The sequence below is a fragment of the Homo sapiens genome, chromosome 11 (assembly GCF_000001405.40).
Source record: "Homo sapiens chromosome 11, GRCh38.p14 Primary Assembly".
In the NCBI taxonomy this organism is placed as follows: domain Eukaryota; kingdom Metazoa; phylum Chordata; class Mammalia; order Primates; family Hominidae; genus Homo; species Homo sapiens.
This window is the reverse complement of record NC_000011.10, coordinates 16995660-17022801: the sequence shown is the minus strand read 5'-3', so window position 1 is coordinate 17022801 and position 27142 is coordinate 16995660. Positions and strand designations below refer to the sequence as shown.

Genomic DNA, 27142 nt, shown 5'->3' with positions numbered 1-27142 from the left:
ATAGGAGAATATCCTTATATGTAGCAAAAACATCTTAAAGTGTTGGGGAGGTGGTAATGAGGCATCATATGCACAACTTATGTGTCAAATATTTACAAAAAAAGTTCTTTGTACTATACTTGCAACTCTTCCACAGATTGTAAAATGAAAATTAGAATTAAAAAGAGAAAAAGTGTCAGGGAGAGTGGGCTTCTTGGCTGAACCAAAAAGGAAAGGGGATGCAGCCCCTGAGCTGGCAGTGCTGCAAACAGGCTGGGGGGTTGGGAACTGAAAGTCTGGGGCTGGGGGGACAAGCAGTCCTCATCTGAAGTTACAAGGCAGAAGGCTCATGGGCAGGTGGCTTCCGTTCTTCCTGGAAAGCCCTCTCTAATTTGAGAGCAGCAAGGTACTACTTGTTGCTATACCAGAGACCCCCAAGAGGAAGGGACTGTGTCTTACTGTGACGGTTAATTTTATGTATCAACAGGAGTAGGCCACGGGATACCCAGGTATTTTGTCAAACATTACACTGGGCATTTCTGTCAGGGTGTTTTAAATGAGTTTAACATTTTTTCAATTTTTTAACCATTATTTTTTTGAGATAGGGTCTCACTCTGTTGCCCAGGCTGGAGTGCAGAGGCATGATCTCAGCTCACTGCAGTCTCAACCTCCCAGGCTCAGGCAATCTCCCACCTCAGCCTCCCAAGTAGCTGGGACTACAGGTACATGCCACCACGCCCAGCTAATTTTTTTGTTTTGTTTTGTTTTTGTGGAGACAGGGTTTTGCCACATTGCCCAGGCTGGCCTTGAACTCCTGAGCACAAGCCATCCACCTGCTTCCACTTCCCAAAGTGCTAGCATTACAGGCATGAGCCACCGCGCTCACATGGCCGAGTTTAACATTTAAATCAAGAGACTAAGTAAAGCAGATTGATCTCTCTGATGCGCGCATGTTGGGGGGCCCACCGATCAGCTGAAAGTCTGAATAGAATGAAAGGCTGACCCTTTCCCAAATAAAAGGGAATTCCTCCTGCCTGACTGCCTGCAAGCTGGGATGTGAGGTTTTTTTCCTGGCCTGAGGGTAGGAATTGCACCATTGGCTCTGCTGGGTCTCTAGCGTGCCTACTGCAGATCGTATCGGCTTCCAGAATCACGTGAGTGAATTCCTTATAATAAATCTCTCAATTGGTTCTGTTCTCTGGAGAACTCTAATGGTTTATTTTCCTGCTATCTCTCTTTGCTTACATTGTCTCCTACTACGGGACTGACACAAAGTAGATGCTTAAGAGAAAGTTTTTAAATGAAAATATAAAGGCAGAGGGTGATTACGTCAGAGGCACAGAGAATAGCATGGTGGTGGGAACAAGGGTGAGAGATGAAGAAACCTTAGCTGACCTTGTGGGGTCCTTTCACTGCTCTGGGACCTGTGAACGTCTTGTATGGATGCTGCCTGCTCCCTACCGCTTTAGGACCAAATGTTGTGTATGTATGTCTGTTGTGTAGTATGTGTGTTGTGTAGTATGTCTGTTGTGTAGTAATAGAACAATTACACTGAGACAGCAGGGATGTAGTGGAGAACGAGTTTAATGATTGCAGGGTGACAAGTGAGGAGACAGGAGGAGACCCTCAAATTTATTTTTTTGTGGAGTTTTGGGCTGGAGCTTTTAAGGGGATTGTGGAGGGTGAGGGGCTGGAAAACTGAAGACATTGACTGGTTGGGCACGGGGGGGATGAAAAGCTCAGGATGTGGAAACTGCATTCTTTGGTGAGTCAGCTCTTCATGGGGTCCTTCAGACCAGTAGAGTCAGTAGTTTTATTAGTATGTAGGACCTGAAGTACTATTTCAAAGGAAAAACTTAACATTTTATAATGTTTAAGTTGTCTATAAACATTATAGTCCAGGGTCTATGTGATTCCAGGGTCTACAGTCCAGGGTCTATGTGATTCCAGAACAATAGACACCAAATAACTATGAAGAAGCAGGTCAGAGAACAAGTTGATCTCATGATTCATACTGAGTGGACTACCAATTGGTTTGTTTTTCTTTCTCATCTTTTTAAAAATTAATTTTGGCCAGGCGCAGTGGCTCATGCCTGTAATCCCAGCACTTTGGGAGACCAAGGCGGGTGGATCACCTGAGGTCGGGAATTCGAGACCAGCCTGACCAACATGGAGAAACCCTGTCTCTACTAAAAATACAAAATTAGCCTGGCATGGTGGCACTTGCCTGTAATCCCAGCTACTCGGGAGGCTGAGGCAGGAGAATTGCTTGAACTCTGGAGGCGGAGGTTGCATTGAGCCGAGATTGTGCCACTGCACTCTAGCTTGGGCAACAAGAGTGAAACTCCATCTGAAAAAAATAATAACAATAATTAATTTTATAGGCCTCACACAGTGGCTGACACCTATAATCCCAAAACTTTAGGAGGCTGAGGCGGGCAGATCGCTTGAGCTCAAGAATTTGAGAGCAGCCTGGGCAACATGGCAAAACCCTGTCTCTTCAACAAATACAAAAATTAGCTGGATGTGGTGGCACCCACATGTAGACCCAGCTACTCAGGAGGCTGAGATGGGAGGATCACTTGAACTTAGGAGCCTGGGCTGCAATGAGCCGTTATCTTGCTGCTGCACTCCGGCCTAGGCAACAGAGTGAGACTGTCTCAAAAAACATTTATTTTTTAAAAAATATAATGTATAGGGCTAGTTTTACAACCACCATCGCAGGTGGGAAAGGAGCGGGGCTAACATCAAGGACTATGCTGGGTGTTCTATCTTCAGGTTGGAGTCATTGATTGTGTTCTATCCTCAGGTACCTGCAGTGTTCCTCCACCCCCAACCCTGCTTGCTCCAGAGCAGCTCTTGTCTTCCAGCATTTAAAGCATCCACTTCTCCACAATACTGAGAACGCCCTAGGGTGGGGACCATGGTGTATAGACCATTGAAGTGCTAGAATGTTGTAGTATCTACTACCAACAGATGTTCAATAAATAAGGATATGTGGTGTGTCCAAGGTCACAGAACTTAGTGAGAGGGCAGCACCCTGAGTCCAACCCAGATCTGTTTGACCCCAAAGGCCATGCTCTTCCATCATGCCATGCTGTCTCCTTGAGAGTAAAGGAGACTTTTTACAAGAGAGTAACGAATTATTGGTTACCCGGAAGCTGAAAATTCCTGGGCACATGTTTGGTTGACTGAATCACATTTTGATTTATTTCTGAACATGGACTATTTTGCATTTAAGTTGATGGCTTAGTGCCATGTACATCACGAGCATCTAGTGTAAAATAAAGTCCTTCACCAGGGCCAATCAAGAGAAAGAGCCTCTGTACAAAAAGTGCCTATTATCACAGTTGATGGTGCTTTGTCCTGAGATAATTAGGCTGGAAAGGGCCCTGGACAGGTGTTGGAGTCTGGTCTATGTTACATAACTAGCCATATGATCTTTGGTCTTTAATGTTTCATTGTTAAAGAATGTTTCTGTTTGTCTAAGAGAGATACTCTCAAAAGAAACATTTGGTTATTTGTAATTTTCTAACACATTTTAAAATAATTTTTAATTTTGAGATAATTATAGACACATGAATTTGCAAAGATAATAGAGAGGTCTCTGTTTACCCTTCACTCAGTTTCCCCCAATGGTTACATCTTATTAAACTACAGAACAATATCAAAACCAGGAAACTGACATTGATACAATGTGTTTATATACTTCTGTTATTTTATTTGAGTGTCAATTTGTGTATAACTATGATTGCAGTCAAGATAAAGAATTATGGTCAGTGCAGTGGCTCATGCCTGTAATCCTAGTACTTTGGCAGGCCAAGGAGGGTGGATCACTTGAGGCCAGGAGTTCAAGACCAGCCTGGCCAACATGGTGAAACCCTGGCTCTACTAAAAATACAAAAAAATTAGCCAGGCGTGGTGGTGTGTGCCTGTAATCCCAGCTACTTGGGGGGGCTGAGGCATGAGAATAGCTTAAACCTGGTGGTGGAGTTTGCAGTGAGCCGAGATTGTACCACAGCACTTTAGTCTGGGTGACAGAAGGAGGCTCTGTCTCAAAAACAACAACAACGACAACAACAAAAACAAAACACAAAACCCCAGAAAAATATAGAATTATTTCATCACTACAAAGATCTCCCTCATGCTATTCCCTTGTAGTTACATCCTTACATCCTCCCACTCCCCACCACCATCCCTAACTCCTGGCAACCACTAATAATCAGTTCGCCATCTCTACATTTAAAAAAAATATATTTTGAGAACATTATAGACCTTTTCAGATTGGCTTTTTTTTTTTCTCAACATAATGTCTTGAGATCCATCCAAGTTGTATGTATCAATTCCTTTTCATTACTGAGTTTTATTCCATGGTATAGATATATCACAGTTGTTTAACCATTTACCTATCATAGGACATTTGCTTATTTCCAGTTTTTCCCTATTACAAGTAAAGTTGCTGTGAATAATTATGTACAAGTTTTTATGTGGAAAAATGTTTCATTTTTCTGGGATAAATGCCTAGGAGTGTGAATACTGGGTTATATGGTAAGTAAGTGTTTAGTTTTTGGCTGGTCTCAGTGGCTTGCACCTGTAATCCCAGCACTTTGGGAGGCTGAGGTGGGTGAATCATTTGAGGTCAGGAATTCAAGACCAGCCTGGCCAACATGGTGAAACCCTGACTCTGCTAAAAACACAAAAATTAGCTGGGCTTGGTGGCATATGCCTGTGATTCCAGCTACTCGGGAGGCTGAGGCAGGAGAATTGCTTGAACCCAGGAGACAGAGGTTGCAGTGAGCTGAGATTGTGCTGCTGCACTCCAGCCTGGGTGACAGAGTGAGACTCTGGCTCAAAAAAAAAAAAGTTTCCTTTTTAAAGAAACTGCCAAACTATTCTTCAGAGTGGCTGTACCATTTTACATCCCACTAGCAATGTATGAGACATAAAGTTTCTCTGCATACTCTTTTGTCACTATTTTTTATTTTAGTTTCTAACATATAATTTTGAAAATCAGTGATAGGCATTGAGTTTTATTGATTACATATTTTGGCATTTATTGAGATAATTTCAGTGTGTCTCTTATTGGACCTATTAATGAATTGTATTATTCTATGTATCTATATGTATATGTTTTAAATGATAAAAAGATCAAACAGTATGAAAGGGGAAACAAGGTAAAGTAAATCTCGTACCATTCCTATTAGAGTTTCCCTCCTCAGAGGCAATCACTTTACCTGATTCTTGACAGTGTAGGGACTATATCTGTATGTTAACAGTAGCATATCACATGCACAGTACTGTAGCCTGCCTTTTCACTTTATTTATTTATTTATTTAGAGATGATGTCTTGCTCTGTCACCCAGAATAGAGTGTAGTGGCCCAATCATAGCTCATTGAAGCCTCAACTTCCAGGGCTCAAGTGATCCTCCCACCTCAGCCTCCCAAGTAGCTGTAACTATAGGTATGCGCCCCATGCCTGGCTAATGTATCTTTTGTAGAGATGGAGTTTTGCCATGTTGCCCAGGCTGGTCTTGAATTCCTGGACTCAAGCCATCCTCATGTTTCAGCCTCCCAAAGTACTGGGATTATAGGTACAAGCCACTGCATCTGGCCCATTTAATATCTTACAGACCATTCTATATCAGTACGTAGGGATCTATTCTCATTCTTTTTTACAGCTTGCATAGCATTCTGTTTTTGTTGTTGTTGTTGTTGAGGAATGTGCCAGTTTAATCAACCAGGTCTTTTTTGATAGACATTAAGGTTATTTCCAGTTCTTTGTAATTACTGACAATGCTGCAGTGAATACTCTAGTACACTGGAATTTGTGCCCCATGTAAGCACTAATGTAGGATAAATTCCTGACATGAAATTGCTAGGTCAAGACATTGAGGTTGGAATAGCTGTGCCAAATTGCCTTCGAAGAGGCTCAAACATTTTAAAGTCCCATCAACAATGAACAAGAATGTCTTTCTCTACAATATCTTTTCTTTCTTTCTTTTATGAGACAGAGTTTCACTCTGTCACCCAGGCTGGAGTGCAGTGGCGTGATCTCTGCTCACTGAAACCTCCACCTCTAGGGTTCAAGTGATTCTCCTGCCTCAGCCTCCCAAGTAGCTGGGATTACAGGCATGCACCACCATGCCCAGTTAATTTTTGTGTTTTTAGTAGAGACAAGGTTTCACCATGTTGGCCAGGCTGGTCTCGAATTGCTGATCTCAAGCGATCCACCCGCCTCAGCCTCCCAAAGTGCTGGGATTACAGGCGTGAGCCACCACGCCTGGCCAATATCTTTTCTAATTTATCTTTTCCAATCTGACATCTAAAAAAATAGTATTTCACCGTAAGTTGCAGTTCTTCTATTATGAAGTGGCTCAGTATCTTTTCATTTGCTTAAAAGTTATCTGTATTACTTTTCTATTAACTGTGGGTTCATACCCTTTGCCCATTTAATGTATTATTTAAAATCAATGTTTAGCTAGCAAAACACCGCTTTCCTATTTTCATTTGCTCAACAACCTCCTCAGAGGCAGGAGGTTCCTTCAGACAGGTGTCCCCCGTCCTCTGCAACCAGTTACCTCTTCTAACTCATAAATGCCTCCTTCCCCAACACCACTGTCTGTTCCCAAGGAAGGGCCCCTTTATGGTCTCATCAACATCTCACAGCCCTCCCAAAATTATGTGCATGCTCTCCCATCCCTCCCCTCTGGAGTGCTCTTTTCCCAGTCAAACCTAACCAGTCCTTCAGGGTCCAGCCTAATTCCACCTGTTTGGGCACCTTTCTGAATAACTAGTGCTCACATTGCATACAGTCTCACTTTCAGGCGCGCCTCCTCCCATCAATCAGAGCCTATGTCCCGAGAAGGCTGGGCCTGACAACAGCTGGAGCCCAGCTGCTGCTCTGTCTTTGCTCAGTGTGTGTGTGTGTGTGTGTGTGTGTGTGTGGCCGGGAGTCTGAGTGTGGAGTATGTTTCATTCACTCATCCTGCAGTTTTTTTTTTTAGACTGAGTCTCGCTGTTGCACAGGTTGCAGGGCAGCGGCGCGATCTCGGCTCACTGCAACCTCTGCCTCCCTGGTTCAAGCGATTTTCCCGCCTCAGCCTCCTGAGTAGCTGGGATTACAGGCGCCCGCCACCACGCCCGGCTAGCTTTTGTATTTTTTTGGTAGAGACGGGGTTTCACCATGTTGGCCAGGCTGGAATAGAACTCCTGACCTCAAGTGATTCACCCGCCTCGGCCTCCAAGAGTGCTGGGATTACAGGCCTGAGCCACCGTGCCCCACCCCATCCTACAGTTATTGAATGCGTAATGCATACATGAGTCAGGTGCTGTTCCAGGCATTGGAGACCAGGCAGTGTATGAGGTAGATCAAAGCCCCTTCTCTCATCCAGCTGACATGTTGGAACTAATATACAACAAACAAGACAAACACAAATATCAATTAAATGTAAACAAGTAATGAAATAGCGAGGGAAGGAGGGGAAGGATTTTCTTTGCAGAGGGCTCAGGGAGGGCTCCCCGAGGAGATAAGATAGGAGTAAAGACCCGAATATGAGAGGGTGCCGCCACTGCAAAGAGCTTTGCAGGGCCCCCTAGAGGCCCCGCCTGGCCACCGCTCTTCCAGAGATGGACGTGCTGCCGAGCCCTCAAAACCCCTTTTTTCTGTTACTTGACAGAAACTGAAGGCAAGAGCTTGCGATCCCTGCAACCTCAGTGGTGTGTGGCGGTAACCCTGCTCCCTCCTGTTTCACATCCCAGCTGAAAACTTGGGAAAATGAAATCGCGCTCGGCCTGCCGTTGATAGAGCACCTACTACATGCCATGGTCCGGTTAAGCACTTTATGCGATTGTTACTTCATTTAATCTACACAACAATCCCGTGTGGACTCGATTAACCTTACAGGGGAAGAGAAGGAGGCTGGGAATATGGCAGGAACCTGAGTGTTAACTTGGTTCACACACAAGCGGAGTTCCCGGGTCGGGAAGTTCTGTGGTGCGGGTCGGCTGGGGTTTACTGAGCGTTCGGGCGCTCGCCGTTTTCGGAGTTGGTCGGGTCCAACCGCGCGCCCCGAAGCTGCCCAGGCGCGCCCGCCAGCGGCCCCCGCCAGCGGCCCCCCGCGCCGCCCGGGTCTCCCGGCCTCGGGGGCAAAGGGGAGCGCCGGTGCCAGCAGGCTGGGGGCGGGGAAGGCTCGGGGACAAAGGCCGCGGGCACTGCGCTGGGTTGGCCGGAGCGGCTGCGAACTCCGGGCGCCAGGACCCGGCCGGGCGGTCGCTCCCTCAGGAGCCCGCGCCTGGATGGAGCGCCTCGCGGCGCCGCCGGGCCACGCGCAGGCCGAGCCCCCGCCACCGCCCCCGCCTCCGCCCCTGCCCGCGCCCCCGCCCCCTCCCCCCCACCCCGCGGCGGCTCCGCGCTCGGCGAACATGGCGGCGGCGACGGTCGGGCGGGACACTTTACCTGAGCATTGGTCCTACGGGGTGTGCCGGGATGGCCGCGTCTTCTTCATCAAGTGCGGCGCGAGGACCCGGGGACGCGGGGACGCGGGTGGGGGCGCGGGGGCGGGGGCCGGGCGGGCACCCGGCGGGCTGTGGCGGCGCTAACAGGTGCACCTCTCTGCCCGCAGTGACCAGCTCCGCTGCACGACCTGGCTGCATCCGCGCACCGGGGAGCCCGTCAACTCGGGCCACATGATCCGCTCAGGTGGGCGCCGGGCCGGCGGGTGGGGGGCGCGCGCAGCGGCGGCCCAAGTTTGACCCGACTTTTCTGGCGTTTCCGCAGACCTGCCCCGCGGCTGGGAGGAGGGCTTCACGGAGGAGGGCGCCAGCTACTTCATCGAGTGAGTGAGTGGGGCCGCCGCGCTCGCACCTGTGCCGCGGGGGGGGGGTCCCTCCCCGTTCCCGCCGGGCGCCCCGCCCTTCCTCTGCTCCCGCCGGCCCGGGCTCGTTGGCGCGCGCTGCGCCGCGGCCACACTCAACGTTTTGTGTGCCCAAGTTGTTTGGCGGCCTCCGAGAGGAAGGCGGTGGGGGCCGCACCTACGCTGGGGACCTGGGCCGGGGGGGAAGAGGCCGCAGACTCTGCGCCCTGGACCTTGCAATCCGGCTGGATTCGGGTGCTGGTGTGCGGGCTGGGCACGCCTCCCCTCTAGGGTCTGGGGCTGCGCCCCGCCGGGAGAGGCGAGTGCCGGGACCTGGATGGGCTCGGGTGGGAGGAGTAGAACGAGAAGTTCTGTCCTGGTGTGGGCCTGCGGGGTTGGAGTGGGGAGAGGGAGAGACTAGGGGAATCTCGCTTAGGAGGACGCCCCCTCTCCCGCCGCAGGCTCTGGGATGGTCTTGGAGAGTCGGAACCTCGCCCCCGGCCTCCATCCACTGCGCGGGCCTGCGGGGAGGGAGGGGGTGGGGAAGGGAACTGGTCAACCAATGACTTTCCTCGAGCGCTCCGCGTCTCTTCGGCCGGAGCTGAACCGGGGGATTGCTGGTGCTTCCGTTAGTCCACGGGCGACTTTTCCGCAAAAGCCCCGGAGTGTTGGCGCACCAGCCAGGTTACCCTGGGTCTGTAGGATCAGTCCATGTCAGATTGGGGCGCAGTAAGTGAAGGCGCGGGTCAGGCTCCTATGCCAGTACAGGCTTTGCTTTCCCACTCCGGCGGGAGTCTGTGTTGCAGCGTGTTTCCCTCTGCCTGCTGAGCTCCGGGAGGCCAGACACTGCCTTTGACCCCTTGCCCCAGTGCCGGACAGCAAGTAGGCACTCGGTAAATGTTTGTTCACTGAATGAATCAGCTCGCCAAAGGTCTGGACGGTGGTCTGACTAGTACTGACTGGGTGTACCTCGGCGACTGTGAGTCAGAACTACTACTGTTAGGAATAAAGCAGCCTATTTCAAGAAAACCCCGGAACCTCCTTTTCTGGTTTGGGTTCTTGCATAATAGTTGAAAATACTGATGGGTGAGATTTACAGACCTAAGGACTAGGGCCTTGCTGCGGTTCTATTGCCCTGCCTCATATGTGTGTATGTGAAGTTGGGGAGTTGGCTGGGGCCATCAGAGTCTTGCTGTCAGTGGGCCTCTCTGGCTCATAACTGCATCAGTTGATGTTATTACAATTTTCCTGTGTGCCACACGTTCACACGTTGTTCTAGGCATTGGGAACAAAAAACAGAAAAGTTCTAGGTGCTCATGGAGCTTGCAATCTAATAGGAGAGGGAAGGGAGTAGAAAATAAGTAAAAAACACAAATAATAATATCAGATCGTGGTTACTACTGTGCAGAAAGTTAAAATAAGGTGATGTGACATGGAGTGACTGGGTGGCTTGGTTGTACTGGGAGATCGGGATGGTGTTTCTGAATAGGCAACATTTAAAGTAAAATTTGAATGACAAGAAGGAGACATCATGTGATGATGAGTTGGCAAAGCATTTCGGGAAGAGCGAACAGCCAGGGCAAGGGCTTAAGGCAGAAAAGAGCTTGGAGTTTAAGGAGCAGGAAGGCTGGAATGTGGTGCACAAGGGAGAAAGTGGCATGAGGAGAGGTCACAGGTAGGAGAAAGGTAAATGCCGCAAAGCTTTGTGAGCCGGGGTGAGGAATTTTCATACTTTATTCTAAGCCCAGTGAAACGTCATTGGAGGGTTTTAAGCAGGGAAATGGCATGATTTGGTGTGTGTTTTTAGAACGATCACTGTGAGGAGATTGGATTGTAGGTGGCCACTGCAGGGGGAGGCAGGAGAGCAGCTGAGGCTGTTGCCCTCTTCCAGGCAGGAGTTAGAAGTGGCTTGCCTGAGGGTGGTAGCACAGTAGACAGGGAGTAGTGGTCACATTCAGGCTGTGTTTAGGAAATAGGCTCTTCACACCTTCATGATGGACTGAATAGTCTGTGGGAGAAAGAGAAGAGGCAAAGATGACTCCTCAGGGCTTGGGCACCTGAGTGGATAGCATTCATATCGTTGAGATGGGAAGAGCCGGTTTGGGGTGGAGGAGAATCATGAGATCTTGTTTTGCCATCTTACATTTGAGATATGAGTATGTCAGATAGTGTGATCTGAAGCTTGGTGGGGAGAGAGGACAGAAGAGACCCATTGGGTATAATAGATGTTATTCAAGGCCATGGGATTAGATGAAATCCCCTAGGAAGAGAGTACAGACAGAAGAGAGATGTTCTGAGGCTTTGGATGGTCAAAGCAGTGTTTAGAGGGGTGAGAGGTGAAGCCAGCAAGGAGACTGAGAAGGACTGAGAAGGTAGGAGAAACCCCAGGAGAATGCATGGTCACAGAAGCCTTAAAGGACAAAATCTGACTGGAGTAGGTGGAAGATAAAACACGGGGTGAAGACAGGGAGTCAGTTAGGCAAATCTTCCAGGTAGTTTTGTTGCAAAGTGGAGTTGAGACATTAGCCGGTAATTGGAGAGGATGTGGGTTTGAGGGAGGGTTCTTTTTTTTGGTGGGAGATTGTACAGCATGTTTGTTTTGATGGGAATGATCCCACTGAGAGGAAGAAGTCGATGCTGCAGTAAAGAGACGGGGCAGTTGCTGGAGCAGTGTTTCTAAGAAGGTGAGAGGGATGGGATCCATGGCCTGCATCTCACTAGCGTCACCCAGGGGCAGGGCCCATCATTCATTTGGCGGGAGGAAGGGCTGCAAGTGTCCCAAAGTACCAGGTGCAGCCTTGGGCTGGGTGTGTGAGGCCGCGTGTGGGACTCTGGAGGCTGGAGCACAGCCTTCCACACCTTTGCTGACTCTTCCATGGTAACTTGTCTGTGAGGTCCCTAATGATTTTCCTACAGTGAGCTCCTGTGCCCCCAGGGCCTTGGCTGACTCCTCCCAGGCCTAGAAAAAGCAATGTGTGACAGTGTTCCCTACCCTCAAAGGCAGGGCCCTGTGGCAGGTGATTGTACTTCTGACGTCCTTCTGTGACAATTTTTTGAGAGACTTAAGGGTTTTGGGAGTAATTGTTCTCTCCCTCATCCCCCGCCCCCCACATGAAAAATGTTTTACTGTTGTCTGATTTCTTAGCTTTGCCGTGAGCATTTCTGAATGTTTGATTTTTGTGTTGAGGGCAGGAGCCTCCTCTAATCTGGCTCATAAAGTGAGAGCGACAAAGCATTGACATGGCTGATTTTATTTTTCCTAATGGCTCCTTGCACAGGAAAGTTGTGTGAGGTTTTACAGGATGTATTCAGTTGCTCCTCATATTTAGCAGATTAAAACATTTTAATTTTTGAAAAAATTTTAAGAAACAGAATCTTCCTCTGTCTCCTAGTCTGGAGTGCAGTGGTGCAATCATAGCTCACTGCAGCCTTGAACTCCTGGGGCCAAGTGATCCTCTCACTTCAGCCTCCCAAGTAGCTGGAACTACAAATGCAGGCCACCATGCCTGGCCAGCAAATGTTTTAATACTCTCCAGAGTCCATTTCTTTTCTTTCTTTTCTTTTTCTTTCTTTTTTTTTTTAAAGACAGCTTTGCTCTGTCGCCCAGGCTGGAGTGCAGTGGCACGATCTCAGCTCACTGCAACCTCTGCCTCTTGGGTTCAAGTGATTCTCATGCCTCGGCCACCCCCTAAGTAGCTGGGACTACAGGTGTGCACAACCATGACTGGCTAATTTTTGCATTTTTAGTAGAGACAGGGTTTCACCATGTTGGCCAGGCTGGTCTCAAACTCCTGACCTGAAGTGATCCGCCTGCCTCAGCCTCCCAAAGTGCTCGGATTACAGGCATGAGCCACTGTGCCTGGCCTCGGAGTCCATTTCTTGAAGCAGAAAAGCTTGAGGTTAGGCAGGTGAATTTTTGTTTTGATTTCTGCACTTTTTGTTCAATTTTGCATTAATGAGGGACAAAATGTATAAGAAATCTACTGTTGGTTCTCCCAGTTCTAGACTAAGTGATGTTGATAACCCCTTTAAAAAGATTTTTTGGCTGGGTATAGTGGCTCATGCCTGCAATTCCACACTTTGGGAGGCGGAGGCGAGGGGATCACTTGAGGCCAGGAGTTCAAGATCAGCCTGGGCAACACGGAGAGGCCTCATCTGTACAAAAAATGAAAAAATTAATGGTGGTATGCTCCTGTAATCCTAGCAACTTGAGAGGCTTAAGTGTGAGGATTGCTTGAGCCCAGGAGTCTGAGTTTACCATGAGCTATGATTGTGATACTGTACTCCAGCCTGGATGACAGAGTGAGACCCTGTCTGTAAATAAATAAATAAATAAATAAATAAAACGAAGACTTTTTGTACTCTAGCACTTCTCTACTATGAATCCCTTAGCTGGGTAGCAAGGTATAATAGTAATTGTGATAATAGTGTCATTAACAGAAGTAGCAATAATAGTAGTAATAATTATATAACAGCCTAATCTTTTTGGGTCTTTGAAAAATGCTAGGAACTGTTCTGTAACTGTCATTGATTTAATTCTCACAATAGTTTGATGAGGTAGGAACTACTACTAGTTTCGTTTTACAGACATAGAATCTTGCCGTAATCCTGGACATTCCTATAGCAGATGGTTTTTTTTCTTGTGTCTTTTCTTATTTGATCCTTATAGCAGCCCCTGGAGGCAGGAGGGGAAGAATCATCCCCATTCTTCAGATGATGAAACTCAGGTCCATGAAGGTTCAATGATTTTGCTGAAGTGTTAGAGCTGGGACTGGAACATAGGTCTTTGGTCCCTCATGTGATAGCCACAGTAGTAGTGGTAGCTCCTACCCCAGGCCATGCATCTTGAAGGAGATGAATGCCCATATGCCATTGCTCTGAGTTAGGCTTCCCCAAGGCTTATGGGGCCAGACTCCATCTTTGCTTTTTCTGGGGATTGAGGTACTTTGGAAGGGCAGTACCCCCTGGTCTCCTATGTTGATTAGGGGTGGTACATGTCTCTGATTAGTAAGAAATTGAAGACATTGATTATTAGTAAATACAATTTGGCAGACACAGCTTTTTCAAACATGGGACCTATGAGGGAGAAGTTTCTAGAAGAGGCCATGGGAGTTAGAGTATTACACTGGGCTGCTCTTCAGGGGTTTCATGGAACCTTGTGAATTCCGTTCCCCCTACAGCAGGCATTAAATAGGTCATGAGGCAATGAGGAGATGGCAGAGAAGAGGGGCTCAGCCACCTTGCCTGTGCCAAGGCTGTTCCTTGAAGGCAGGCATCTTATTCCCCACTTCTGTGACTTAGGCACCCAGCCCAGGGCTGGGAGCTGAGTAGGCACTTGGCATCTCTTGAGGAATCAGTGTTTTAAAGAGACCCAATGAGTTTTCTAGGTATTCCAGGTCTTGGAAAACTCCTTACTGGGAAGGAGATTGGGGTGGAGGAGAATAAGCAAGGTGAGAGAAGCTCAACAGCCAGGAACAGGCCTGTCAAGGCTGGTGCCTAGACCCAGGCTTCTTGGATACAGTCGCTTGCTGTTGAGAACAATGCTCAAAGCAGGAAGCTGGCTGGTGGAGGCTCAAACGGCCTCCTCTGCGTCTTCATTTCATATCCTTATTGCTCTGCATCTGGGACTGGGATACCTGTTGGCTACTGGACTAGGCTGTCTTCCTTCCCTGGCTGCTGGGCCCTTGGCATCATCTGTGACTTGGCACAAGGGTGCTGGCAGGAACCAGCTGATTGCACAAGACCCTTTCTAGCTTCAGGTTTCTCAGTTTTAGCTTTGGGGTTGTGTGGAGCCACCCTGTGTAGGTACTTTCTTCTTGTGGGTGCCTGTCCCCAAGTGAGGACAGCTAGACTCTGGGAAAGACATTTCTGAGGCTTGGAGTAAGGCTAACTTTCCCCTCCCCTAGGACCTGAAGCAGGTCCTAGGGGCAGGACTGGCTACATAATTTGCAGAGCCTCAGTGTAAAATGAAAATGCAAGGCTCCTTATTGAAAAAGAAGGAAAAAGTATTAGCTTGGTGCAAATGTAATTGCGGTTAGTGCTATTACTTTTAATGGTAAAAACTGCAATTACTTTTGCACCAACTGAATATCTTTAGGCCGGGCGTGGTGGTTCACACCCAGTAATCCCAGCACTTTGAATGGCCAAAGCAGGAGGATTGCTTGGGCTCAGGAATTTGAGACTAGCCTGGGCAACATGGTAAAACCCTATCTTTACAAAAAATACAAAACTTAGCCGGGTGTGATGGTGCATGGCCATAGTCCCAGCTATTAGGGAGGCTGAGGTGGGAGGATCACTTGAGCTTGGGAAGCGGAGGTTGCCGTGAACTGAGCTCACGCCACTGCACTCCAGCCTGGGCGACAGAATGAGACTCTGTCTCAAAAAAAAAAAAAAAAAGCATCTTTAGAGATCCTAAAATGTAAAATTTTGTTCTTCTGTAGTTTTTCCCTTGACTTGTCATTTAAAAAAAAATAAAATTGCTATTTATGGGCATGGTGGCGAGTGCCTGTAATCCCAGCTACTTGGGAGGCTGAGCCAGGAGGAACGCTTGAACCCAGGAGGTGAAGGTTGCGGTGAGCCAAGATTGCACCATTGCACTCCAGCCTAGGCAACAAGAGTAAAACTCTGTCTCAAAAAAAAAATTTTTTTTTCTATTTAATGTAATTCTACATAAAGAAAAATTAAGTTTAAATTATTAGCATAAATTTTATAGTTATTTCTATATTGTAGAATATAATGTTTTAAATGTGAATATCAGTGCATTTACCTCATATGCTAGGAGTTGCCACCACCATGCCCCACTCCAAGACACCATAGAGCACAAGCACCTGTATCCATGCCCCCCTGGGCAGCAGGGAGGAGCAGGGAGCCCAGGCAGGGCTTAGGGCTCCAGGAGGCTGGGAGTGGGCAGTTAAGAACCTGGTCCTCCGAGGCAGGGAGTGGGGACCAGGCATGAGTCCTTCAGAAGGTTACCTCTGGAGATAATGCCAAGTATCAAGGGTGTGTGTTTTGTATTCAGCAACCCATTTTTTAGTCTGAAATCAAAGGGAGTTGGAGAGTGAAGGATGAACCAAATGTGACAGATGTTCAGTTGGGGATTTTGTAGACACCAGGCCTAGAAGGCCCTTAGGAAAGCCAGTGAATACTGGACAGCCCAGGAGGCTGCCCTTAATTATGACCTCACCCAACCGACAGTCTTCTGGGCCACCCCTAGGAAGGAGTCTGTCCTGTCTTCTATATTTTCCTCCCTAGATAAATGTTGAACTTCATGGCAGTGAAATTTATCTTGTAGAATGTCAAACCTATTGATTCACTTATATATCATCTTCCTTTTTTTTTTTTTTTGAGACTGAGTCTTGCTGTGTCACCCAGGCTGGAGTGCAGTGGCGGCATCTCGGCTCACTGCACCTCTGCTTCCCGGGTTCAAGCGATTCTTCCACCTCAGCCTCCTGAGTAGCTGGGACTACAGGCATGCGCCACCATGCCTGGCTATTTTTTTGTATTTTTAGTACAGATGGGGTTTCACCATGTTAGCCAAGCTGGCCTTGAACTCCTAACCTCAGGCAATCCGCCTGCCTTGGCCTCCCAGAGTGCTAGGATTACAGGTGTGAGCCACCGTGCCTGGACGTTTTTTTTTTTTTTTTAGATGGAGTTTCATTCTTGTTGCCCAGGCTGGAGTGCAGTGGTGTGATCTCGGCTCACTGCAACCTCCGCTTCCCTTGTAGCTGGTGTTACAGGCGCCCACCACCATGCCCGGGTAATTTAGTAGAGACGGGGTTTCACATGTTGGTCAGGCTGGTCTTGAACTCCTGACCTCAGGCTGTCCACCCGCCTTGGCTTCCTAAAGTGCTGGGATTACAGGCATGAGCCACCATGCCCAGCCTTATTTGTCATCCTTCTTATTGAGATGTTGCTGGGAACAGCAGTCCCAGAAACTTTATTTCAAACCTGGGGGTAATAGTCCCACAAAGAATTTCTGGGAAACTAGCAGCTTACATATATACTAAAATAGAAATTCTGAACCCCCTCATTGAAGGTTAAGAAAGGTTTTCCCAGCTTGGCAAGTTTTGGCAGAATCCCATGCTTTATATTTCACTTCCTGGTTGCATTTTCAAGGGTAAAAACTGGTTCATGGATTTAAACGTTAGGTTCTGTGGGAAAGGAAAAACAGTGAGTGTTGTTTAGAAAGCGAAAGGAAGGATTAGGAGCCATGATTTATACCACATCTCCAAAAAGAAACTTCTTTAAGGAAACGTCTTTAAGAAAAATGGTTGCAAGTTGCTTTTTAAGGCTCTTTACCCATGAGAGGAGTGTGTTTTAGAGATAGGACAGATGCTGGGTTGGGAAGAGGTGTTTTCATGTGATGAGGGTGGGTGTAGGTTTCTTGTGCCTTGATGGCACCCTCTCCATTCTCTCTCTCTCTCTTTCTTTTTTTGTTTTGAGACAGAGTTTTGCTCTGTCACCTAGGCTAGACTGCAGTGGCATGATCTCAGCTCACTGCAACCTCTGCCTCCTGGGTTCAAGCAATTCTCTTGCCTCAGCCTCCTGGGTAGCTGGGATTACAGACACCCACCACCACGCCTGGCTAATTTTTGTATCTTTAGTAGAGACGGGGTTTCACCATGTTGGCCAGGCTGGTCTCAAACTCCTGACCTCAAGTAATCTGCCCACCTTGGCCTCCTGGAAGTGCTGGGATTACAGGCGTGGGCCACCGGGCCCAGCCTCCATTCTCTTTTGATGTCTATGGGAGTAAATTTGGTGCTTCCTAAATTGAGAACTTTGGAAAAAAATTAAGACAGCACTTTAAACAGAAACGTGTGCAGGGGCAGGGAGATGCCAGTTTACCCCCCCCGTTAAGTCTGAGGTGACAGAGGGCTGTAGGAAGACTGCTTGTTGGCTTTTCAGCCTCAATATGTGGAATATTTGGCAATTCAGTGAGGTACCTGCTCTTGTTTTCTATCTTCAGAGGACAGCACAGGTTTGAATCTCTTTGCTCAGTGTAAGACAGCATCATCTCAGCAAACTGGCAGGTATCTTAAGTAAATATTGGCAGAGGGAAAAACACGGAGGAATATGGTTGTATTTGCCTGTTGTTTTTAAATGGCTGTCAAAACATTTGCTTTTCAATTTTCTGAAATGAGAAATATTTTGAGTTAATGTTTTATCATTTACAGAGTATTTCACGAACATTCTCTGGTTTGTCCCATAATTATTGCATTTTTTTAGTGCGGGAATTTGGGCTCAGAGGGGTAAAGTGACTTCTCTAAAGTTGTATACTGGGCTGGGCATGGTGACTCATGCTTGTAATCCCAGCACTTTGGGAGGCCGAGGTGGGCAGATCACCTGAGGTCAGAAGTTTAAGACAAGCTTGGCCAATGTGGTGAAACCTCATCTCTACTAAAAATACAAAAATTAGCTGGGTATGGTGGTGCGTGCCTGTAATCCCAGCTACTCGGGAGGCTGAGGTAGGAGAATCACTTGAACCCAGGAGGCAGAGGTTACAGTGAACTGAGATTGCGCCATTGCACTCCAGCCTGGGCGACAAGAGTGAAACAGTGTCTTAAAAAAAAAAAAGAAAAAGAAAAAGGAAAAAAAAGGTGTATACTGCATTAGCTCAGCTTCTTCAAAGTTCAAGGGAGAGGCCTGGACATATTGTTCCTCATATCCAGGCTTCTCAGACATTTCAGCCATAGGTCTAATGGCAGAACAGAATGAAGGCCAACTCACCTAGGAGACTGGATGCAGGAAGTGCCATTAAATGTTGGTTCTGTCCAAAAACTCATTGACAGACTAAAATTAATTGAGACTTTACCCTCAATTTAATTTATTATGTAATCCTTTCTTATATCTTCCTTTCAAATCAATTCTTCGGCCAGATGCATCATGTTTATTGCTTTGTGTTCTAAATAGAAATGTGTACCGGCAGAGGAATGCGAGTTCCCCCTGTTCAGTCTTAGGTGACAGAGGAGTGCGGAGAGACTCCTTGTTGGCTTTTCAGCCTCTCTGGGCCCTACATCTCCAAACAGGATGTACAGGAGGACTTAAGGAAAGTATCAGCAGTTGTGGTAACCTTGGATTGTCTTTTGCTTGTACTGAGTTGTGAGTTGTGCCGGATCACTTCTCTGTCTCATCCAGCCCTCTTCAGGATACTGGCCTGGGCAGCAGGGTTGGTTTTTGTTGAAGCCCAAAGCACAGCTAGGCAACTTCATCATGCAGAAAAATGTATGAAAAGGGCTTTTGATGTGGGTGACAGCATGTGTAAAGAGACGGTATCCAAGTGTGTGGACTTTGGAGTCAGACTACCTAGACTCTAATTCACCTCCACCACATACAGCTCCCTGACCTTGGCAGGTTACCTGCTCTCTTTAAGCCTCACTTCCTCACCAGTAAAATGGGGTTAAATGTGAGGATTATGTGAGTTAATTGATGGATGGAAAGGGTTTAGCAAGTAGTAGTGCCACGTTTACTGGCACATTGTAAATGCCCAATAAATGTGAGCTCCTCTTCTGTACATCCACACAGCTATGGGGCAGGGTGAAGACATGACTTCTGAGTCCTAATTGCATTCATTGGCTGCAGAAGTCTGGTGCCCTTGAACTAGGATTGCCGGAGTCAGGGGCATGCAAACTGTAGAACTCAACTCAGAAATTGGTTTGGACCAATAAAAACTGCACAACCTTGGGCTGGGTGTGGTGGCTCACATGTGTAATCCCAGCACTTTGGGATGCCAAAGTGGGCGGATCACCTGAGGTCAGGAGTTCGAGACCAGCCTGACCAACATGGAGAAACCCCATCTCTACTAAAAATATCAAAATTAGCCGGGCACTGTGGCGCATGCCTGTAATCCCAGTTACTCAGGAGACTGAGGCAGGAGAATCGCTTGAACGGGAGGCAGAGGTTGCAGTGAGCCGAAATTGCGCCATTGCATGCCAGCCTAGGCAACAAGAGCGAAACTCCATCACAAAAAAAAAAAAAAAAAAAAGGCACAACTATTCTGGTACTTAAAGGATGTCCTTATTCTTGGAAATACACACTGAGGTTATTTGCTCTTAAGTAGTTAAGTGGTGTGGGGGAAAATTGTGTTGGGGGGAAGGAGTGGATGACAGAGCAAATGGGACAAAATATTAACAGTGGGTGAGTCTGAGTTAGGAGTGGCCCCTGGTTTACCTCTTTACTGGGCAGTTAGAAGTCTGCACAGATGTCTGCTTCTTAATCTGTGCAGCCACCTGGTTATCGGCTCTGACCACTAAAGGACAAATGCATTGTCTGGCACGTCTCACGTCACAGGTGTCAACAATAATAATCTTCGTGGTGCTTTCTAGTTGAAAAATGCATTTGTTGTAGAGGCAGATATTTTGATTGTCCTCATTTTACAGATCAGGCATTTGAGGCTGATGGGGGCAGGGAGTGGTGGTTAATAGATCTTCCCAAGGCCCCAGCATCACCGAGGGGTTTAAGACTTGAACCGAAGTCTTCTTGGCTCCAAATTCTATGCAGTTTCTACGTGGTACATGGTGCCTTGTGGCTCTCATCATCACTCTTTCTGTTCCTTTTTTTTTTTTCTTTAAGTGTTGAGGTTTTGTTCTGTTGCCCAGGCTGGGGTGCAGTGGTACCATCTCAGCTCACTGTAACTTCAAACTCCTGGGCTCAAGCAATGCCCCCGCCTCAGCCTCCTGAGTAGCTGCGACTACAGGCGTGCACTGCCATGCCCAGCTAACTCCCTCTCTACTGATTCCTCCCTCTAGGGTTATCCCTCAGAAGCAGTTCTCTGCCTGCACCTTCCCTGATGACTGTGAGGCAGAAGCCCCCTTGGGCCTCCCTCAGAAAGGCAGGGTAGAAGAGTGATGGATGGTGCATAGTCCCCACACAGAACTGTGAGCCAGTCGCTGGTGCTCTGGGAAGTGGACCTCCTCAAGCTGGAGAGGCACCCTCTCCCGCCACAGATGTCAGCTGACCTTAGCTTAGGGGCCTATGAGCTTCTTAAGCCTGCTTAGAGCCAGGCTGTCTCTTTCAGGTCCTGCCAGAAGAGCATTTCCAATATCACAGCCAATTTTCTCAGGGTTTCTCAGGGGCTTTTTTGCCAAGACAGAGCCTCGCCCTCTTGAGGTCTCACAGCTTGGAGTTAGTGTGCAGTCTCTTCCTGGGGCTGCTGGCTACCTCTTGTAGCTTGGAGTTAGTGTGCAGTCTCTTCCTGGGGCTGCTGGCTACCTCTTGTAGCTTGGAGTTAGTGTGCAGTCTCTTCCTGGGGCTGCTGGCTACCTCTTGTAGCTTGGAGTTAGTGTGCAGTCTCTTCCTGGGGCTGCTGGCTACCTCTCGTGACTTCCTACATCACACTCTATGGTGCAGGGAAGGGGAGCAGCATGCTTGGGGGATGGAGGGGCCAGAGATCCCATTCCAGCCCTGTACCAAGGCCACTGGCTGCACAGCTTCCTGTGTTCTCTCCCGCTGGGTGAGGCGGGAGATGAGCTTGTCCTCGTCTCGGAAGAGGGGAGCCAGAGCAATGGTTTAGGTTCGTTCACTCACCTTTGCAACAATCATATCTTCTCCACTTGCAAATTGAGCTGTCTGTGCCTGTCCACAGATGGAATGAGTTGGCCATCTTGAGGGGTGGTGGGCAGCTTATTAGAGGAGCAGTTTAATTGGAGGCTGGTTGGCTTTTGATCAAGGAATTATCTGTTCAGTCACCAGACTCCAATTAAGCAGCTACTCTATGCCAGACACTCGGTGCTGGGGAGAGAAATGAAGCTCACTGTTTCTGCCCTCCAGCAGTGCCCAGTCCAAGACAGGAGAGGAATGCTGGACAGTTCCAATATGGGTGCCTGGGGCTGGGGAGCTTCGGAGGGTGACCAAGGAAGGCCAGGCAGCCATGGAGCAGAGCAGTGAGCAGCCCAAGGCAGGAGAGACCAATGCAGAAAATGTGAAGGAGCTGGGGATTAGGGGTGAGGGCCATGGTACCTGTGTGCCTGTTTGGGTCTCAGAGAGGTTAGTGCTGAGTTGAGGAGTAGGGACAGACCTTAGATAAAATCCTTCACTAGTAGCTTGGCTGCAGGAGTGTGGTGTATGGGAGCTATGCCCTAGAGGGCTCCCTGAATTCCTTTGTCTATAGGGTGGTGCCACATGGTGTTTACAAAACATGGATTCTGGGATCAGAGTGCCTGGGTTGAAATCCTCACTCTGCTTTTAGCTTTGGCAGGTCACTTGAACCTCTCTGTGTCTTTAGATGTTTCTTCATCTGTAAGATGGGGACAATGACTGTACCTATCAACTTAGAATGGTATCTGGCAACTTGTACATGCTATATAGGAATTAGCCATTATCACTACTACTCCTATGAAGGAAGCCCCTTCCTAAGGTGAAATGTGGCCTGGTTGGCAGAGGAGCTGTGGTTGGTTCTCTTTGGGGAGATCTCCTAAGGTCAGGCTAGCCAGAGGGAGAAAGAATTGTGCTTCCTTGTTGAGACTTGTCTTTAAAAGGAAGCTGGGCAGTAAATGATTGGTGCCAAATGTCAAAGAAACTATTTCTCATCTCAGAAGCCCTGTGTGGCTGTGTCCAACCAGAGAGAAGATGAACAGGTTTCTTGAGGAGTGTCATGGCTCATGCCTGTAATCCGAGCACTTTGGGAGGCTGAGGCAGGTGGATCACTTGAGGTCAAGAGTTCAAGACCAGCCTGGCCAATATGGTGAAACCCCATCTCTACTAAAAATACAAAAACAAAAAAAATTAGTTGGGTATGGTGATGCATGCCTGTTAATTCCAGCCACTCGGGAGGCTGAGGCACGAGAATTGCATGAACCTGGGAGACAGAGGTTACAGTGAGCCGAGATTCCACCACTGCACTTCAGTCTGGGTGACAGAGTGAGACTCTGTCTCAAAAAAACAAAAACAAAGACAGGTTTCTTGTACTTACCATTGATTGACACATTTGATTTATACTCCCTGTCCATATCCCCCCTCCAGTGGAGAGGATTCCCACATGTGAGTATTAGGGTTTGCATCTGGTTCTTTTGTGGGGAGGCAGTAACCCTGGTGTCTGTATTAGAGGATTGGTAAGGGGCAGTGAGGGTAGACATGAATTAGAGCTTCTGTGGGGTGGGGCTGGGAGTCAGCATTTATCACAAGCTCCACAGGTGATTCTTATGGACACTGAAAGTAGAAGCATCTCTGAGCTTCAGCTTCTCTGTCTCTAGAATAATGATATATTTTTCTCCCTAGTGTTATTTAAGAATGAAATGCGATAGCCTGTCTGAAGCTCCTACCATGCTATTCAGCACATGATAGGTGCTCAGGCATTGTGAGTCTCTTTCCTTGTAGAAGAACATCTGTCTAAAGTCATTGGGTTAAGCTGTGCAAAAGGCTTTGAGAGAGTATCAGTGGGGTACAGCTGTCTGAATGTACACCCCGTTACCCAGGAGGGAGCCTGGGAAGCCAGGTTCCTGGGGAGCCTCTGGTTTTCTCAGTGTGGGTTGGGAATGTGCTGCCTTCACCTCTGCTGAGATGATGCTGTCAGTCCCAGTTAGAAATGGTGGGACTGAGCTTGTGAGTGACCACTGAATGAGGCCTATGTCTGCCTGGGGGTAGGTGTGCAGCTCCACATCTTGGAACCCCGTGACCACTTAGAGATCCTGCAGGCAGAGGAGGGCCTGGGGTGACAAGTTGTTCTGAGTGATTGACATTAATAGCCAGAGAAGGCAAGCAGAAGGCAATTAAGCTGAGAAGTGGGAAGGCTTCCTCTGTGTGGGAGAATACATGTGTCCCGGCAGACAGTGGCAGTGATGAGCAAGTCATAGAGATGTCTGACATTGCAGTTGTCCCTGAGCTGGTCCTGGGGGAATGGGGCAGGGCCAGGATTGTGACTCAGTTGCCATGAAGAGCTCCCCAACTCCCTGGGGACAGTGTCAGGCACAGAGACAGTGCTCAGCCAAATAGGTGTGTGTTGGTTGATTTGACATTTGCCATTACCCTCCTGAAATTGCAGATATACGAGGATAGAGGGCTGGTTGGAGTTGGGAGTGAGTGGGGGATTGTATGGTGAGGCTGGGAGGAGGGGGATAAGTCAGTGGTCAGAGTCCCAGGGAAGAGAAATGATTTCCTACCCACCAAAGAAAGTGTTTGGCAAGATTTTTTTTTTTCAACACATTTTGACCTGGGGATTTAAAAAAATATGGTTGAATGCTATGAAGCTAAATATCTATAATAACTGTACCCCTTAATGCATTTCTAGATGTAATTGGTGGTACTTGAAATTATATCCACTTATGGAGGTTTTGAATATTTTTTTTAGCTTTGGTGTGTAGATGGGAGCTGAAGAGAGCTCAGTCGGTTTTTGCTTCAACTTTTCCAGCCCTTCTCACCTGAAAATGTGTAGACGTGTTTGTGTGTTTGGCACTGGATGGTTTTGAAAATTCAGAGGGGATATTAATTCTTTTGGGGAAAGGAAAGTAATTGGCTTCCTGTTCTGTGAATACATAGATATTTAAATTAGAACCCCAAGTACACTCTTTACTCCAAAAGCCGCATGTGTCTGAGGAGCCTAGTGACATACGATGTAAGAATTGTGGGGTAATCTTGCCAGGCCTTTCCAGGTTGCTCCTTGGGGAGGGAGGTCTTGGTTGGTGCTGATTGCCTCCTTGAGTCAGTGGAAAGGTTTGAGAGTTTGTTTGTTTGTTTTTTTCCTGAAGGTTCGTGTTGGGTTTTGCTCAGTTCAAGGGTGCTAGTGAGCTGAGGGGTGGGGCTGTGAGGCTCTCACACTGAGAAGCCAATGGCTTCTACTTATTTGTTTATTTTACAAATGTTTATCTGGTACTGACACTGTTCACACGTACACTGTTCTAAGGGCTTCACAGACACAGCCTCCTTTAATCCTCATGCCAACCTTATAAGGTAGGTACGGTTATCATCCTCATTTTACAGATGGGGAAACTGAGGCTCAGGGAGGTTGAGTCCAGTAATTGGATGCACAGGTGTAAGGCGGCAGAGCTGGGGTCACCCAGCGTTCCCTATCTGGGGTTCTCATAGTCTCTCTCTGTCCAGCTTGGCCTGTCTCCACCATGTTCTGTGACAGGCTGTGCCGTGGAGACTGCTCCAGTTTATTTCAGGAAGACACTCGAGCTTCGCACAGGTCAGAGTCCATGGGCATGGTGAGGGAAGAGAGGGTGTAGCCAGGGCTGTTAGTCTGGGACTCACTGGAAGCAAACTGCATGCGGCCTTCTGTCGAGTCAGCAACCCCTTTTGGGTTTAGTAGGAATTGTCACCTCTCCCCCCAGCACATGCACCTGTAGAGAAGCCCCCAGGTGTTGCAGAGAGCCCCTGAGGGAGGGTATAGGCTGTGCTGGGGCTCAGAGACCTGGAGCTCAGAGGCTAGCTGAGGCAGGCTTTGGGGTCTTGCTATCTTGCCTCCTGCCCATCGAGTGCCAGGTGAGTGAAGGAAGTCACTGTCTGGTTAGCTGCATTCTCCCTCCTGTTTCTGGGGTCTGAGAGAGGAGACAGATTGCCGGTCTTTGTTTTGGACTTGACTCCCTCTAGAGATGGAACCCCCACCCTAGCCCCACTCAGACAAAGTTAAGAGAATATTGGGAAAATGGGCTCTTCTTCACAGTGGAAGGGTTTGGCATTTTGAGACTCAGCATGAAAACCTCACTCTAATGCTTTCCTGAAGACTCTGGGGTCATTGCTCACCTCCTTGTCCATGGACATTTCTGATGGGAGGAGGAGGAGGTAGACTATGGGGTGGAGCAGAGAGAAGATTGGAGGCTTTTCTCTCTGAAGTCCCTATAGGCACCTCAGGGGTATTGTTAGAGGGGTGGTGATGGGAGCAGTGGTGACCTGGGGTGAATACAGAAATGACCTTGGCCCAGAAGCACAGCCTTGGGGCAGGGGACTCCACTCAGTCCTGATGTGTCCACAAATCAGTCCATGCTGTGTGAGGCAGAAAAAGGGCTTGCTTGGGCCTGGTAGCTCCAGGCTGGGACCTGGCTGAACTTGAAGCTGATACCCACAGGGTAGAGAACCACTCTGAGATTCAACTTTTTTTTTTTTTGAGACGGAGTCTTGCTGTGTCACCCAGGCTGGAGTGCAGTGGCACGATCTTGGCTCACTGCAAGCTCTGCCTCCCAGGTTCACGCCATTCTCCTGCCTCAGCCTCCTGAGTAGCTGGGACCACAGGCGACCACCACCATGCCCAGCTAATTTTTTGTATTTTTAGTAGAGACGGGGTTTCACCGTGTTAGCCAGGATGGTCTCGATCTCGTGACCTCGTGATCCGCCCGCCTCGGCCTCCCAAAGTGCTGGGATTACAGGCATGAGCCACTGCGCCCGGCCTCTGAGATTCAGCTTTTAAGTTATGTGAAGCATTCTGCAGCACAGGAAACTCAGTCCTGGCTGAGGACCGTAAGCTGTTGACTTCCTTCCTGCAGGTTATAAGCATTTCCCGGCTCTCCCATCCCTGTGTACCTGAAACCTTTCTGGAACTGGGTGTGACCTCAGGCCTGTATTCCCAAGGCTGTCAGGGGCTACGTTATAGGTCTTTTCCACTGAGAAGTCCTGCCTGCCTGCTGTGTGGTTCTCAGATGGGATAGGTGGAGGGACCACCCCCCTGAGAGTCTACTGTCTCCATGTTGAGGGCCTTTGACCAGACTTGGCCTCCCTCACAGTTCAGCTGTTCTCACTCCTGACTTGAAATAGGGCAGCTATGGGGTCATGGGTGAGCACACAGGCTTGGAGCCAGACTTCATGGCTATGGAACTCTGCCAGGTTATGTAACCTCTGTAAAATGAGGTAAATGCCGGTATCTGCCCCTTAGGTCTTTTGCAGAGATTAAATGAGAATAATACACGTAAACTACTTAGTCTCCAGAACATAGTATGGTTCAACAGATTTTATAATTTATTTCCATGAACAGCAGATATTTTGTCTTTTCTCTATAATGGCTATGGTGGGCCAAATGTATTTAGGTAATTTCTTGACTTCTGCAGGGACTCTGATATACACAGAGCGTACCTGTGTATACTGTCCAGTTAGCTCAGATTCTCAGTTTTGGGCATTTTCTAAGGGAGGGCAATGAACATCCTGATAGGTTTAACTAAGGTTTTAAAATGTCCAATTTTACGTGTGGTTTTTAACCACACCTGCATCCTAATTACGACCTTGGCTGTTATAGCTTATAGGTTTAGGCAATCTGGATATAGTTGTAGCAAAGGTTATTTTTGATTCGAGACATGCCTTGCTTCCTCTGGGCAGAGGAAGAAAAAGCTCCAGTGATGATGGAGGACTGGAGAGGGGAGGTCAGATTCAGTTTTGAATTTTAAGTCCATTTA

At 48.0% G+C, this 27142-nt stretch overlaps 1 protein-coding gene across 22 annotated transcripts in view, besides 4 other annotated features; it reads left to right on the top strand.

Annotated features, from left to right (window-relative positions):
- Positions 757-1258: an enhancer, noted in NCBI's record as "OCT4-NANOG-H3K27ac hESC enhancer chr11:17043091-17043592 (GRCh37/hg19 assembly coordinates)". NCBI's record gives its function as "activates a minimal SCP1, AML or CMV promoter by ChIP-STARR-seq in naive H9 embryonic stem cells {active_cell/tissue: H9 hESC(naive)}" and the evidence as "EXISTENCE:reporter gene assay evidence [ECO:0000049][PMID:30033119]".
- The window catches only part of PLEKHA7 (pleckstrin homology domain containing A7), a 237118-nt gene continuing 218363 nt past the window's right edge, over positions 8388-27142 (top strand). For all 22 annotated transcript variants that reach the window (XR_007062454.1, XM_047426441.1, NM_001329630.2 and 19 more), the window contains exons 1-3: positions 8388-8486; positions 8601-8677; positions 8756-8813. Coding sequence is in view for 21 of the 22 variants with exons in the window: in XM_047426441.1 (XP_047282397.1) it covers positions 8401-8486; positions 8601-8677; positions 8756-8813 (221 nt within the window). In the remaining variant the exon portion in view is untranslated. The remainder of the gene's footprint in view (positions 8487-8600; positions 8678-8755; positions 8814-27142) is intronic.
- Positions 9686-9980: a silencer, noted in NCBI's record as "tiled region #14902; K562 Repressive non-DNase unmatched - State 21:Repr". NCBI's record gives its function as "represses a minimal TATA promoter and a strong SV40 promoter by Sharpr-MPRA in K562 cells {active_cell/tissue: K562}" and the evidence as "EXISTENCE:reporter gene assay evidence [ECO:0000049][PMID:27701403]".
- Positions 9686-10626: a biological region, named in NCBI's record as "Sharpr-MPRA regulatory region 14902".
- Positions 9865-10626: an enhancer, noted in NCBI's record as "NANOG-H3K4me1 hESC enhancer chr11:17033723-17034484 (GRCh37/hg19 assembly coordinates)". NCBI's record gives its function as "activates a minimal SCP1, AML or CMV promoter by ChIP-STARR-seq in naive H9 embryonic stem cells {active_cell/tissue: H9 hESC(naive)}" and the evidence as "EXISTENCE:reporter gene assay evidence [ECO:0000049][PMID:30033119]".